This window comes from Homo sapiens, chromosome 14 (assembly GCF_000001405.40).
Source record: "Homo sapiens chromosome 14, GRCh38.p14 Primary Assembly".
In the NCBI taxonomy this organism is placed as follows: domain Eukaryota; kingdom Metazoa; phylum Chordata; class Mammalia; order Primates; family Hominidae; genus Homo; species Homo sapiens.
This window is the reverse complement of record NC_000014.9, coordinates 101038915-101052393: the sequence shown is the minus strand read 5'-3', so window position 1 is coordinate 101052393 and position 13479 is coordinate 101038915. Positions and strand designations below refer to the sequence as shown.

The 13479-nt window shown below is 51.6% G+C and overlaps 1 long non-coding RNA gene and 14 other non-coding genes across 15 annotated transcripts, besides 2 other annotated features; all 15 read right to left on the bottom strand.

Annotated features, from left to right (window-relative positions):
• Positions 1 to 598: 598 nt before the first annotated feature.
• Positions 599 to 7237, bottom strand: MIR381HG (MIR381 host gene). The gene is made up of 3 exons (NR_104192.1): positions 7210 to 7237; positions 1125 to 1327; positions 599 to 792 (listed from the first exon to the last, which is right to left on the bottom strand). It is a non-coding gene; the product is annotated as an MIR381 host gene (long non-coding RNA).
• On the bottom strand, positions 2748 to 2844 carry MIR655 (microRNA 655). Its single transcript, NR_030391.1, has one exon. It is a non-coding gene; the product is annotated as a microRNA 655 (primary transcript).
• Positions 3646 to 3736, bottom strand: MIR544A (microRNA 544a). Its single transcript, NR_030257.1, has one exon. It is a non-coding gene; the product is annotated as a microRNA 544a (primary transcript).
• On the bottom strand, positions 4415 to 4493 carry MIR889 (microRNA 889). The gene has a single exon (NR_030595.1). It is a non-coding gene; the product is annotated as a microRNA 889 (primary transcript).
• On the bottom strand, positions 4996 to 5073 carry MIR539 (microRNA 539). The gene has a single exon (NR_030256.1). It is a non-coding gene; the product is annotated as a microRNA 539 (primary transcript).
• Positions 5628 to 6128: an enhancer, noted in NCBI's record as "H3K4me1 hESC enhancer chr14:101512603-101513103 (GRCh37/hg19 assembly coordinates)". NCBI's record gives its function as "activates a minimal SCP1, AML or CMV promoter by ChIP-STARR-seq in naive H9 embryonic stem cells {active_cell/tissue: H9 hESC(naive)}" and the evidence as "EXISTENCE:reporter gene assay evidence [ECO:0000049][PMID:30033119]".
• MIR487B (microRNA 487b) lies at positions 5856 to 5939 on the bottom strand. Its single transcript, NR_030267.1, has one exon. It is a non-coding gene; the product is annotated as a microRNA 487b (primary transcript).
• Positions 6129 to 6629: an enhancer, noted in NCBI's record as "H3K4me1 hESC enhancer chr14:101512102-101512602 (GRCh37/hg19 assembly coordinates)". NCBI's record gives its function as "activates a minimal SCP1, AML or CMV promoter by ChIP-STARR-seq in naive H9 embryonic stem cells {active_cell/tissue: H9 hESC(naive)}" and the evidence as "EXISTENCE:reporter gene assay evidence [ECO:0000049][PMID:30033119]".
• MIR381 (microRNA 381) lies at positions 6400 to 6474 on the bottom strand. Its single transcript, NR_029873.1, has one exon. It is a non-coding gene; the product is annotated as a microRNA 381 (primary transcript).
• Positions 7238 to 8110: 873 nt separating the features above from the next.
• Positions 8111 to 8196, bottom strand: MIR1185-2 (microRNA 1185-2). The gene has a single exon (NR_031571.1). It is a non-coding gene; the product is annotated as a microRNA 1185-2 (primary transcript).
• Positions 8197 to 9331: 1135 nt separating this feature from the next.
• MIR1185-1 (microRNA 1185-1) lies at positions 9332 to 9417 on the bottom strand. Its single transcript, NR_031575.1, has one exon. It is a non-coding gene; the product is annotated as a microRNA 1185-1 (primary transcript).
• Positions 9418 to 10948: 1531 nt separating this feature from the next.
• On the bottom strand, positions 10949 to 11031 carry MIR300 (microRNA 300). The gene has a single exon (NR_030582.1). It is a non-coding gene; the product is annotated as a microRNA 300 (primary transcript).
• On the bottom strand, positions 11545 to 11612 carry MIR376A1 (microRNA 376a-1). The gene has a single exon (NR_029868.1). It is a non-coding gene; the product is annotated as a microRNA 376a-1 (primary transcript).
• On the bottom strand, positions 11859 to 11958 carry MIR376B (microRNA 376b). The gene has a single exon (NR_030157.1). It is a non-coding gene; the product is annotated as a microRNA 376b (primary transcript).
• MIR654 (microRNA 654) lies at positions 12095 to 12175 on the bottom strand. The gene has a single exon (NR_030390.1). It is a non-coding gene; the product is annotated as a microRNA 654 (primary transcript).
• Positions 12246 to 12325, bottom strand: MIR376A2 (microRNA 376a-2). The gene has a single exon (NR_030266.1). It is a non-coding gene; the product is annotated as a microRNA 376a-2 (primary transcript).
• MIR376C (microRNA 376c) lies at positions 12639 to 12704 on the bottom strand. Its single transcript, NR_029861.1, has one exon. It is a non-coding gene; the product is annotated as a microRNA 376c (primary transcript).

Genomic DNA, 13479 nt, shown 5'->3' with positions numbered 1-13479 from the left:
CTAGTCCGCCTGAGGATGAATTGGGGACAGAGGGTTAGGAGAGTTGAGGGGTGCACAATGTCAATCAAGCCCTTGCTTTCCAGCCAACCATGCATTCTTGCCCCTGGAGAGGGACGAAGGGCAACAGCTCCTTCCAGAAAGCTTCCCCAGCAAGATCCATACTCAAAAAAGGCACTCCCTCATGAGACTGGGCATAAAGAAAGCAAACCCGGCAAGGAGAAGGTCCTTTCAAGTGCCAGAAAATAGCATGGCCTAGGAAACCACCACCTTGTCTTCTGAGCTGATGTGGCCTCCAGAAGTCACTGGATAGGTAGGGACTGTGGATCAACTGACATACACCATTTATAAAATGTACGTTCTCTGATCAACCATCCATTCCCCTATCATGGACAGCACCCTGCCTCCAGGTCAGGGTCCTGCCAGGGGACATCTCCGGGGAGTTTGTCCTGAAAAACAGTGGTCCAATATGATAAGCCACAAACCCAGGCGAGGCCCCACGGTCAGCCTCAACCCTGCTCTGCCCCCGAGGCCTCCAGAGCCTGGAGGCCACAGCATGTGAGTCTTACTCCAATGAAGACACAGGCTCTGCCATGGGTCATCCTTACGAGTATTTCACGAGGTGCTGACACCAATGCCTCCTTTAATAATTCCTTGGAATTATATCCAGGAAAGAGGTGATGCTGAGTTGCATTTGCAGCAGAGAAAGCATTGTAGAGGGAACCTGCCATTGACGAGACCTCCCCAGGTGTGTCAGAGGAGTCCCCCTGCCTCCTCTTGTAGGTAGCCTGGATGCTGAGGGTCAAGGACAGAGAAAGCCTGTGACCTGGCTTGATAATCTGTCCTGTGGCCTCTGGCTCTGCAGCACCTCCTGGATCGTGGCCTCGTGCTGATGGCCAGAACCTTTCCCCGGAGTTGCCCTCCCTTCTGGGGGACCCTCATGGGCAGGCTGCATGGATAATGAGAATTAATGACCCATTTAATAGGTATCATCAATTCAGCCCCCTCTCTGCCTGGGACACGGAGTGGGGCTGAGCACCGAAATGGTCTTGCCCAGAAGTCCCCCAAGGACGGGTTGCTTGGGCCATTGAACATTGGGCATCGTCAGCAGACCCTCCCCCAGGTACCTGGTGATGGTGCTGACATAGACCTCCTCTCTGGTGGCGGGACACCTCCACACATTCTCCCACTGTGCAGGAATGAGGCCAACTGTGTGGTCTTTGTCATGAAAAATGCAAGAGCACTCCGGTGGTTCCTCACCAAGCCCCACGCCGCGACACGAGCACATCGGGTCCCCCGGCCAGAGCCTGTATCACTTCTAGGGCTTCTCCTGAGGGTGGAATGAATTCTCTGGGTTAGCTGTGCAGAGAACACATTCGTCAACAAAGTTCATATCCCTGCGTCACCTCTGTGCCCATACCTCAGGCGAAGCTGACAGTTTTCTTACTGTGAAGCCGGCACCTGCAGGCACCCATAAAGAACTGACTCCACACAGGGACCCCAGCGCACTGGCCACCTCAGATAGGACAAAGCCACGGAGGCAGAGAGCAGTGGGGCTTTGCAGCCACTCCAGGATGCTGCCCCACACAGGGACCACATCCTGAAGGGGGCGGGGCTTGGTGCCACTGCCCTCCACTGTGTTAGTCCATTTTCTGGCTGCTGATAAAGACATACCCAAGACTGGGCAATTTGCAAAAGAAAGAGGTTCAATTGGACTTACAGTTCCACGTGGCTGGGTAAGCCTCACAGTCATGGTGGAAAGCAAGGAGAAGCAAGTCAGGTCTTACGTGGATGGCAGCAGGCAAACAGAGACCTTGTGCAGGGAAACTCTGCCTTATAAAACCATCAGCTCTCATGAGACCCATTCACTATCACAAGAACAGCAAGGGAAAGACCCACTCCCCTGATTCAATTACCTCCCACCAGGACCCTCCCACAACACAAAGGAATTCAAAATGAGATTTGAGTGGAGACACAGCCAAACTATATCATCCACCAAACGGGGGATCAAGGACAGCCTCCCTTCTCCATAACCAGGGGACACGCTGGAGTCCGTGTTCTCCTCTCAAACCAGGTGCTGTGTGCAGGAAGCCCTCCAAGGCAGCATCACAGAGCCGAAGATTCATTAGCTGCATGGTCTCCATCGGGAAGGAGTGAAGGGAACCTGGCACCGTGCCAGTGTCTATGAGCACCAAGCAATGGACCAGGAGACCCCACCAGGTCGGCTGGCAGAGGGAAGCTGACCTGAGGAGGAAGTGGCACTGGGCCAGTGACCTGGGTGAGGAGTGGGAACACAGCCCAAGTCGGCCTGCCCTTCACACACCCACAGAGGTGCTGGACTTCATCCAGGGAGCCACCCTGAGAGGAAAACAGGCTGTCCTCAAAGGAGTCCGCATGGAGGAGTTAACCTCTCCTCAAGTGTCCCAGTGGAGTGGTAAACCTTGTCCTTGCCCCCAGGGACCCACCCTGAAAAGCACTGGGTCCAGGAAGGGACCTAGCCCTGTGGCTAAGCCACAGACCCAGCCACTGGGGGAAGGCACAAGTTGGCATTCAAAGAGGAGGGAACCTCACATAACTCGCAAAAACACATCGCATTCACAGCAAACACAGCAAAGCAACCCAGGGCTCTTCCCTCCACCAGCCTCACTTCCAGGAAGCTTCCCTCACGCAGCACGGAGCCGGGGCAGGGGCTCTCAGCTCACACAAGGCACACACTCTCACGTCTCCTGTGGGGGCGGCCCTCCGAGGCAGAGTCTGATATTCAAAAAGAGGTTAACCATGTATTATTCATGATGAATGAAGCGAACATAACACGGATAACCTCTCCTCAAATATCCTTGCATAGTTCTGAAACGAAAACCATGGCCTCTTCCCCACCGTTGTCTTTGCTTCCAGAAGATTCTTCTTGGGATGAGCTGAATCCCAGGGTTGGGGCAGGGAGGTGTTCACATCCTGCAAAGAAAGCACACGTACTGGCATTGACCTTCCATTCCCGTACCTCAGTCTCAGGGCCCAGGCAGCCCTGGCACCAAAGTCAAAACCCTGACATTGGAACCATGCTCAGAAAGACTTCTAAGGCAGGTTCCATTAAAAATATATGAAAGCTTCCTCCACGGATTCCTGAAAGACGGGATTTGATGACGAGAACCAGCAGAATGCATGTCAGAGATAAGCAAAGCCATCATGAAGAATTCTGTTTCCGATAAAATGGGGTGTCACTGATCCCTGAAGACAGGGTCCCTACCGCAGAGATGGTCTCAGTTCCTGGAATTTCCTCCCGATGACTGCTTGGAAACGGAGGGTCACAGAATTCCAGGGCCCAGCACATCAATAATGAATAAGCGTGCCGTTGACCTGCACCCGACAATCTTGCAGCAGCTTGACACCGGCGGCCCCTCCCTGAAGCAGGTCTTGTATCTGGGAAGCCCTTTGAGGCATGATTTGATTTTAAAGAAAAGTAATCTCATGCTATTTACGCATGTGAAAGTGAACCCTTGTTCACAAACCAAAACATGGCACGTTGATTCTGGGCCGTTCTCCCACGATGGACGGTATATGGCATGTGGGGAGACAGGCGACACATATCACAGGGAAAGCACCTGGTCTCCAGCCCCAAACCACTGTGAGTGTTGTCCACAGACCGGCGGTATTAGCATCACTTGAGAACTTGCTAAAAATGCAGAATCTTGGTCCCTGAATCAGAATCTGCTTTTTAACAAGATCCCTAGGTGATGAAAATCTTAGGAGCATTTTTAAAGTTTGAGAAACACTACTCTAGCCAACTATTCATATGCACACGCACACAAACACACACACACACACACACACACCCCAGAGGTGCTGTCGACCACAACGTCTTATTCCATGAGAGTCTGTCTAAGATGGGGTGGTTCCCAAGGAAGGCACGAAGCCATGCCACGTCCACCAAGAATAATCCAAATACCCAACAGGCAGCTGCTTAGGAGCTGCCAAAAAGTAGTAATAGTAACAGGAAATGTACGGAGTTTTTACTAATGTTTGCATTCCCTACAGGAAGTGTTTCATACTCAGAATGAAGGCTACAGATAGGAGAGGCTGGACCCAGGTTCCCCGGTCCACCATCTACCTAGAGAGAGGCTTGACCCCGGCATCTCTCCAAGGAATTCCTCGTGGCTAAGATTTAATAACAAGAAGAGAAAGAGAGATGAAATAATTGTGAACATCTTCCAATAAAAAGATATGGCACCAAGCCCCTAAATGGCATCTCCACCCCAAAGCTAGCATTTGTCCAAGGAAATCACACTGGTGGCTTGCATTCTGAGATCACTGGATTCATCATTATAAATCATCAACACAGTCACACTCCATGGTGGGGCAGGCACCAATGTCCCCTCACTGAAGTCAGCACTGTGCTTTCAAAAACTTCTGAAGCAAATTTGGATACTAAAACAATGGTTGTCCGATATTAATCATCATAAATATAGAGACCATACTACGGACAGCCATTCTTTAAGCACCAAAGAACTGTGCCATCAAGAAGAGCTGGGCATCTTCTCCAAAGTTGGTGTCTCTTCCAGAAAGTTCTTCTCAGGTAGTCCAAACAATGAGGATTAGCAGGTCAGCTTCACACATTGAGAGTCAAGCCCATGCCTGGGGGTCAGTCACACTCTTGGGCAGGGGAAGGGGGTCTGGCCCCAATGATCGGTCCCTAAGGTTTGCTTCATGTCCAAGAAGTGCCTCCAAGAAGCAGGATTTGATAAGTAGCTTGAATGCTGCGTCACCCACAACACACACCCATGGCCAATGCAAATCCCTGATAGCACCAAGGAGTCCCGTGGCCCCCTGCCAAGCGTGGCCCCGCCTCCAGGGTTCTGAGGTTAGGGCACAAGTGTCCCCACCACAAACCAACTGCATGCGCCCTCATCCCCACCCAGGCGTGAGCCCCTGGGAAGGGCTGATGCGTGCATCCCTTTACAGAACTTGTCATGGCGTCCAGGAAGTCTGCCGAGGCAAGATTTGATACTCAAAAAGAAATTGTCCTTGTATGATTCATCATAAATAAAGCGAACACACCAAGGATAATTTCTCCTCAAGTATGAAACAGCAGCACGGACCACCACCTCCAGGTCTTTGGCTCAAGGTTAGATGGTGACTGCTTCGTGGCAAACCCAGTCACACACTCGCTCATGCACACACACCACGCACACACAGGCATGCACAATGCATGCACCAAGTTTGACCTCTCTTTAAGCACCAGGGAAGCAAGATGCCATAGAATCCTCACTCAGCTTGGCATCCTCGCTCAAGACTCCTTCAAAGCGTAGATAGTGGCCGAGGTCAAGAACCCAGGGACTGTCTCTCTTAAGTGGAGCAAATGTTCTCGGCACCCCTGCTGACCCCCACTGCATGTGGCATTCTGTATCAAAAGCCACTGTGTGAATGGCTTAGCTGCCAAGCATCAAGAGCATCACTAGCCCCCATTGTAAACACCGTGTATGCTCTGGGCTTCCTAGTCCATTCCATACCCGATGAAGGACTTGACTTCCATGTTTTGACACTGTTCCAAAAACCCATGGAGAGATTTTAGTCATAAAACCACCACCACCACCACCACCACCACCACCAATGATAGTTTCACAGCACACAAGGGTCCTGGCTACCACCTACGAAGTGCCGACCACGGGGCTCTGCTCTGAGCCGTGTACAAGTCTTAACTCGTTCAGCCCCAGCAGCCCCAAGAAATGGACGCCAATGTGATTCCCCTTTGACATGTGAGACAATGGGCACAGCACGATGAGATCCTTGCCCAAGGTTGGACGGTTAGTAAATGTCAGAGGTGGGATCCAAACACAGGAAATCGAGCTCCAGAGTCTGCGCTCTTGATACTGAAAAAGTGGATGACCCTGTACGATTCGACATGAGCAAAACGAACAGGACAGGGATAACCACTCTCCAAGTACCAAAGGTTAGCACGGAAAAGAAAGCCACTGCCTTGGGTGGACTTGGTACGTCTTCAAGGCGCGGTCCTGGGGATGAATTAGATGCTGAGGGTTAGTGGACCGGGTCACATACCCCAAGCAGAACATGCACACTCACGGACCGAGTAACAGCAGGGACCACAAAGCCACTACCCCACACGAGCGCCACCCCAGCCATCGGCCCGGGCTGATGACTTCCCGCTCAGGAAGCAGGGACCCAGACCACACACATCGTGCATGCTTTTGGCCCCGCCCACACTGCACCAGGAGAGGGGATGTCCCAGAGGCCACTGCCTTCCCTAAAGTCATCCAGGTGCCCGTGAAGTCCTCTCTGTGAAGTGGGGACCCGTGAACGATTTGCCACACACAAAACGGATACACACGGTCATGCACACACATACCGCATCCCTTGCTGAGTGTGGACTGGGTCCAAGACAAGGTTTGATACTCACAGAGAGCTTGCCCTTGTATATTCCATGTCAATAAACCGAATATACAAAGGGCAACCTCGCTTTAAGTACCAAACAATAGCACTGGGCAGGTTCCTCACTATCATTCACGGGGCCGGCCTCCTCTCCCGGGGTTCATCCTGGCGGGGGAGGGGGTGGGAGATGCGGGATCAGCAGACCAGGTGGCAAACACCACCTGCCAGCTGTGTGCCCATAGGTCAGCTCTCCATCCCAAAGGGGCCAGGAAGGGGCAGACGCCAGTGCCCCTTCACCAGAATCAGCCTCTTTTCCAGGCATCACTCCAGATTAGAACTTGTTCCTGAAAAGGAGATCCACCCCACGGGCCTTCCTGGGCACACGCAGAGCTCAGCTTCTCACTTTCTATAGGAATTCCCTGGGGTGGGACCACCATCTCCTTCCCAGTGTGGGCACCTCTCCAGGAAGTTTTCCTAAGGATGCACTCAGCACCGAGGTCCCAGGCACTGGATGAATTTACACCTTAGACAAAGCAAAGGCCCTGTGGTCACCATCCCTTCATCCATCTCACAGAGCCGTTGACACCAGTGTCATTCTCCATGCCAGCCCTTGCCCCACCCCTGCCAGAGGCTGGCATCGTGGCCATGAAGCCATGCTAAGAAAGAGCACAGGGTCAACAGTAGTAAACCCCACGTACCCCCAAGTAACTGAGGAAGCAGACCCACAGCCCATTCCCCACAGTGGTCTCTCCTTCAAGAAGGGGAGAGGAGCGGGAGCCGCCTGGTCCAGGTGGCAGGTTATGTGACTCATTACCCAGGCGTGGTGCTCACCTCTCTTCAGCTGGACGTTCGCTTTCCTTGGGCTGAGGATGCTGCGAATGTCCTTCCTGAAGCTGGCTTCGGGTCCAGATGACCCCCATGGCAGTCGGGGTGTAAAAAGCCGGCAGTCACACGGCCCAAGGAGTGTCTCCACAAACACAGAACAAGAGTCCCATTCTCAGGCAGCCATCCTAGGTGTGAGCAGAAAGCCAGCAGTCAGAGACGGGGCACAGACATCGAGGCAGAAGCAGGCGCCCTCTGACCTCCCACATGCACGCACCTGGTGCGGGGCTGACAGCTCCCACGGCTCATCCCCAGCGCTGCCTTCATGGGCAATCACAAATGACAAATAGAAGCAAACCATTCTTACAGATTCAGCCTGGGGACTGCGAGCTGGATCATGAACACCCAAGCATCAAAAAAAAAAAGCGCTGATGAGCACACCTCAGCCCCTTCCCCAAGGTCAATACCACCTCCAGGAAGCCCTCCTGGGGCTGGCCTACCAGGCTCGAAAACAGCATAGACAGAGCCAGTGCTCCGTGGTCCACCATCACTGCTGTCTGTGTTCCCCTTGAAATGATCCAACATCCAGGTCCCCCTTCTAAGGCTGATGCTGGGAACAGGAAGCCTTCTGTGTATGACTTGGTACCAAGAAGAGGCAGATCAATGTGTGATTTATCCTTAAAAAAGCAAACCACCATTAAACTTGGAGCACACAAAAAGGTCCCTCCTCTCCCACTGCTTCCAGGGAGTCCACAGGAAGAACCAGCATAGAGGGCGAAGGCAGAACCCAGGGGCAGCGTCACAGCCAACCTCACGTTCCCGGACATGGAAGCCAGGCCATACCTGAGAGGGGCTGACATCCGAGGCTTTGTCCTGGAGACAAGCAGGGTATGAGTGTCTTCTCCGACAGTTTGATACGCAAATGAGAGTCTCCCCCTGTATATTCGCCATTAATCAAGTGAACATACAAAGGGTATCCTCTCTTTAAGTACCAAAGGGTGGCTCAAAGAGCAGGTGAGGACCATGCCGGGTCTTTGCCGGAGTGGACATCTCCTCCTGCGAGGCCTGAGACCAAGGGGGAGGGGCCCGGTGACAAGCCTCATCTGGCTGACCCTGGAGCTGGGCCTGCACCTTGCACATTGTGGCCTGGCCCCGAAAGGTGGCACATCCAGGACTCCCTGCAGGCGAGACTGGCTTCTAAACAAGGGAACAGGTAGGCATGACTATCAGTGTGCTCAGCATGCATGGGTGAACCTGCTTCAAATACCCACAAGCTACATGGACAATGGAACCATCACCTTTCTCCAAAGGGGCACAGGGTGTGAGGGCTCAGCCCGGCAAGACATGGAGTTATCAGAGAAGAAGGCATCTGCAGGCATTCTCAGAGCTGGAGAGCGCTGAGACAATGTCTCTCCTCTGAGGCTGGTTGTCCTAGAGATGACCAGATCCAAGAATGTGTCACCTGTACCTACCTCGAAACAAACAAAAAGAGGGCCCCAGCGTCAGACTCTAGCGACAAAGGAGTCCTGAAGACCAGACACACCTGCCCAAGGCACACTCAGGTGCAATCACTGGACAATGTGCTCCGAGGACTGGCCATTGGAGTCCAGCGACAGTCCCAGAGGGCACAGGCAGGCTCAGGGAGCTCCACCAGTAACTTGCCTTAGAACAACCTGACATCCATGTGCTTCCCTCAAGGCTGACACTCTCTCAAGGATGGAGACCACCAGGGAGTGGCAGGTCAGGGGAGTAGCAGGTGAGAAGCAGCATCAGCTCTGCGCTCCACCATCCACCACCCATTCGTGTGTCCGGAGAGGTGCGAGGTTAGTGCTGGACGCAGGAAGCCCTCTGGGTATGACTTGGTATGGAGAAGAGGCAGATCCATGTGATTTATCCTTAAAAAAAGCAAACCACCATTAAACTCAGTGCACACAAAAAGGACCCTCCTCTCCCACTGCCTCCAGGGAGTCCACAGGAAGAACCAGCACAGAGAGCGAAGGCAGAACCCAAGGGCTAGGATCACAGCCAAGCTCACGTTCCCAGACAGGGAAGCCAAGCCGTACCTGAGAGGGGCTGACATCCGAGGCTTTGTCCTGGAGACAGCAGGGTCTGAGCGTCTTCCTCGACAGAGTTTGATACGCAAATAAGAGTCTCCCCCTGTATATTCGCCATTAATCAAGTGAACATACAAAGGGTATCCTCTCTTCAAGTACCAAAGAGTGGCTCAAAGAGCAGGTGAGGACTATGCCGGGTCTTCGCCGGAGTGGACATCTCCTCCTGCGAGGCCTGAGACCAAGGGGGAGGGGCCAGGTGACAAGCCTCATCTGGCTGGCCCTGGAGCTGGGGCCTGCCATACAGTTGACTTTACTTCCCAGCATCTCTTCACGACAGGATTGGTTACCAAAAGACAGGCAATCCTGTACCATTTGAAATAATGTAAATGTAAAATGGCTGAAATCCCTTTAGGGCCTGCAAAAACACCCTGGGAGAAGAACCTCTGCCTCTGCCCAAAGCCACTGCCTCCAGGAAGCCCTCCTGGTGAACACTGGCTAAGGGAGGTTAGAAGATGCAGTCACATGCATCATTAAAGAAAAAAGAGAAACAGAAATCCAACGCACTCCGTTTGCAAATCACAAAGCAGCACTATGACAAGTGTCCCTTCTCCTGAATTTGGCATTGTATTCAGAAAGCCATCTGAGCAGTTAGTTGTTACTCAGAAGTATTCATCTAGGGCAAGATTCGTCAAAGGAAAATGAGATTCTCATGGGCCAACTCTCTCTGAATAAACACATGCTAACACCAGGAATCCAAGGGTCTTTCCATTGGCAAGAATCCCTAAAGGACACCAATGGACTAAGAGAGCAGTGGGGCTTAGAGGTCCCAGCAGCAAGTCCTGTAGCCACACTGGGTGCTCTGGGGCCTCCTTCCTGTGGACTGGCCTTCCCTCAAGTGGACAGTGAGGTCCAAAAGTCACTCCAAGGATGGGCTAGGTATGGAGAGTGGGTAGACCAGATGACCCACATCTACATTAGACATTGACTTTGCTGACGGTCATTCTTTCATGTATCTGGGAGATGCACTGACCACGAGACCTCTTCTCAGAGGCTGGCATCATGCTGGGCAGACCTGCCGGAGTAGCAGCCCATGGATGCTTTGTGATAAGTAGGGCCCATCAAGGGAGGCCCTTTGTTCTTTTCTTTTTTTTTTAACCTATTGTGTTGAGACAGGGGTCTCTGTCAGCCAGGCTGAAGTGCAGTGGCACAATCTTGGCTCACTACAACCTCCCAACTCCCGGGCTCAAGTGATCCTCCAGCCTCAACCTCCTAAGTACTGGGACCACAGGCGCACACCATGACACCCAGCTAATTTTTGTATTTTTTGCAGAGATGGGGTTTCGCCAAGTTGCCCACGCTAGTTTCGAACTCCTGGGCTTAAGCCATCCACCGTCTCAGCCTCCCAAAGGGCTGGGGTTACAAGCGTGAGCCACCGTGCCCGGCCAAGGTAGGCCCTTTTTGCTAGGCAGAACAGGTGGTCTGAAGAGAAAACCCTATATCATCTCCAAAGCCAGCATCTCTTCCAGAAAGTTCTTGGAAGGAAGCATGAGATGAGGAGGGTCAGAGAACCAGGTCACAAACAGCAAGACAGAGGCACATGCCCTGTGGTCAACCATCCACACCCCAGGGCTATCCTGGCCATCTAACAGGTTGCTGGAGTCAGCCTTGTTCCCAAGAAGGCTTCCCAGGCAGGATTTGCTCCCCAGAGAGAGTCTGCCCTTGTATAATCATTGCAAGTAAAGCAAATGCGTGAAGGATTACCTCTCTTCAAGTAGCAAATGATGGCAGTGACAGGAAGGCCATTTCCTCTGTGACTAAGTTGCCACCAGCTCCAGGAGCAAGCCTTAGAGACACAGATGGGATCTGCATGGTGAGAGCAGCACACCGAGGTGTGAAGTGCAGGCCCGTGGGTGAATCACACATCTATTCCTTCCATAGCCCCTGAAGCAGTGCCCCTTCCTGAAATTGACAGCCCACTCAGGTATTCTCTAAGGTACAACTAGTCACAGTAAAAGAGGTTCATTCCAGAAAATGCATTGCAATCATGGTAAACATACAGAGAACAAACTTCATTCAAGGTCAATGAGGCAATACTGAGAACACAGCCTTGTAACAACACATTATGTGTGCACCAAGGGCAGTGAGCAAACAGCAGAGAAGCTGACGGCGTATTTCATACAAAGTACAATTCTGTGTCTGTCCGTCCTGTACCCAGGAGGGGTACAGATAACATCTCCTCTTCCATGGCGACTTCACGTCCTCCGAGGTTTTCAAAGCAGCATTTGATACTGAAAACGTGGATTTTCCTCTATGATTAATCATAAATAATGTACTCATAGAAGGAGAATCTACCTTTTAAATACCAAAGAAGGATTCCATCCAGGAAAGCGTGCACCTGTGCTTGAGTCATCAGAAAAGAAAGTCACATGAGGCAGACGAGCTTCCAGGGAAGAACTGGCACCACGAGACCCACAATTTAATCTTCACCAAGTTGGCGTCTCGAGATGGTTCTCGGGCATACCCCGTTCATTCAGATACGACGTGCGGCCTACCATCTTTGCACCTACTCAGGCCCTACGGTCTCTTCCAGAAACATTTCCAAAGCAGCATTTGATACTGAAAACATGGATTTTCCTCTATGATTAACCAGGAATCACGTAAACATAGAAGGAATATCCACGTTTTAAATACCAAAGAAGGACTGGGCTCTGGAAAGGACAAATCTGAACACAGTTCATGGAAAATGGAAGCAAGACAGTAAAGCAACCGTTTTCAGTCCCGTAGCATAGCTGTGACAACACACCACAGCCTGTGCACCAAGCTGGCTCCTCAGCGAAAGGGGGCTTCTAAAGGTGATGGTCAGCAGACATATGGCACGAACTCAGCACATGTTCTGCGGCCCACCATCTTTCCACTTACCCTGGAGGGCTCAGCCCCACCTCACGTCCCTGATGGTGGCTTCAGTCCAGCCATGATCCCAAGGCAGCATTTGATACTGAAAACGTGGATTTTCCTCTATGATTAACCATCAAACACGTAACCATAGAAGGAAAATCTACCTTTTAAATACCAAAGAAGGTTTCATCCCGGAAAGCACGAACCTAAGTACAATCCATCAAACACAAAAGTAACATAGCACAGAGGAGAGCATTCGGCCTCATGGAGAAAATGACGACGGAGCCCAGCCGCTTGGCCGAGCGGGCAGCTTGCGAGAGGGGTCTCCTCAAGGCGGGTGGGTGGTCCGCAGACATATGGCACGAATTCAGCACATGTTCTGAGGTCCACCGACTTTCCACTTACCCTGGAGTGGGGGGGGGGACTTTATTGTCTCTTCCCTGATGGTGGTTTCAGTCCAGGAATGTTTCCAAGCAGCATTTGATACTGAAAACGTGGAATTTCCTCTATGTTTAACCATAAATAACATAAACATAGAAGGAATATCCACCTTTTAAATACCAAAGAAGGATTGAGTCCTGGAAAGCATGAACCTAAGCACAATCTATCAAAATTAAAGACAGCACAGGATAGGTGCAGTCGGCAGGGGCCTCCCGGGCTAGCGGCAGTGACATGGGCCCTGCGGAGGACGCATGTCCCAGGACAGACCTTGCTAACAAGAGCTTAGGTTCTGGGATTCACCTTCCATCACTCTCCGCATGGGGGAGGGAGCTAACCTTCCTCTCAGAAATGTTCAGAAATGTTTTAAAAGCAGCCTTAGATACTGAAAATGCGGATTTTCCTCTATGATTCACCATAAATCCTGTAAGCATAGAAGGAACATCCACCTTTTAGATGGGAAAAGTGGGAACAGCCCTGGAGAGCACAAACGCAAACATGATTCATGAAAGACAGAAGGTAACAGAAGCAGGTGAGCACTTTGCGAGTCCCACGTGGGAAGCGCAGGGCCCACCCCTGGCCTCTTCACATCCAGAGATGGAACTCCTATGCAGGCAAACGTAAGTTTGGGGTCTGCCCTGCTGTCACTCGTCTGGGTGGGGGTAACCCTAATGTCTCTTCCCTAATGGAGGCTTCATGGTCAAGAGCGTTTCCAAAGTAGCATTTAATTCTGAAAAAAAAAAAAAAAAAAAGTGAATGTACATCAAAAATTTGCCACAAGTAAAGCAGGCAAAGTAGGGATTCTATGCTTTGAATTCGAAAAATATCAAAAACAAAAAGAAAATAAGCCTGTCAGGTTCCTAAAGTCACATCGCCTCCATGAAGCCCTCCC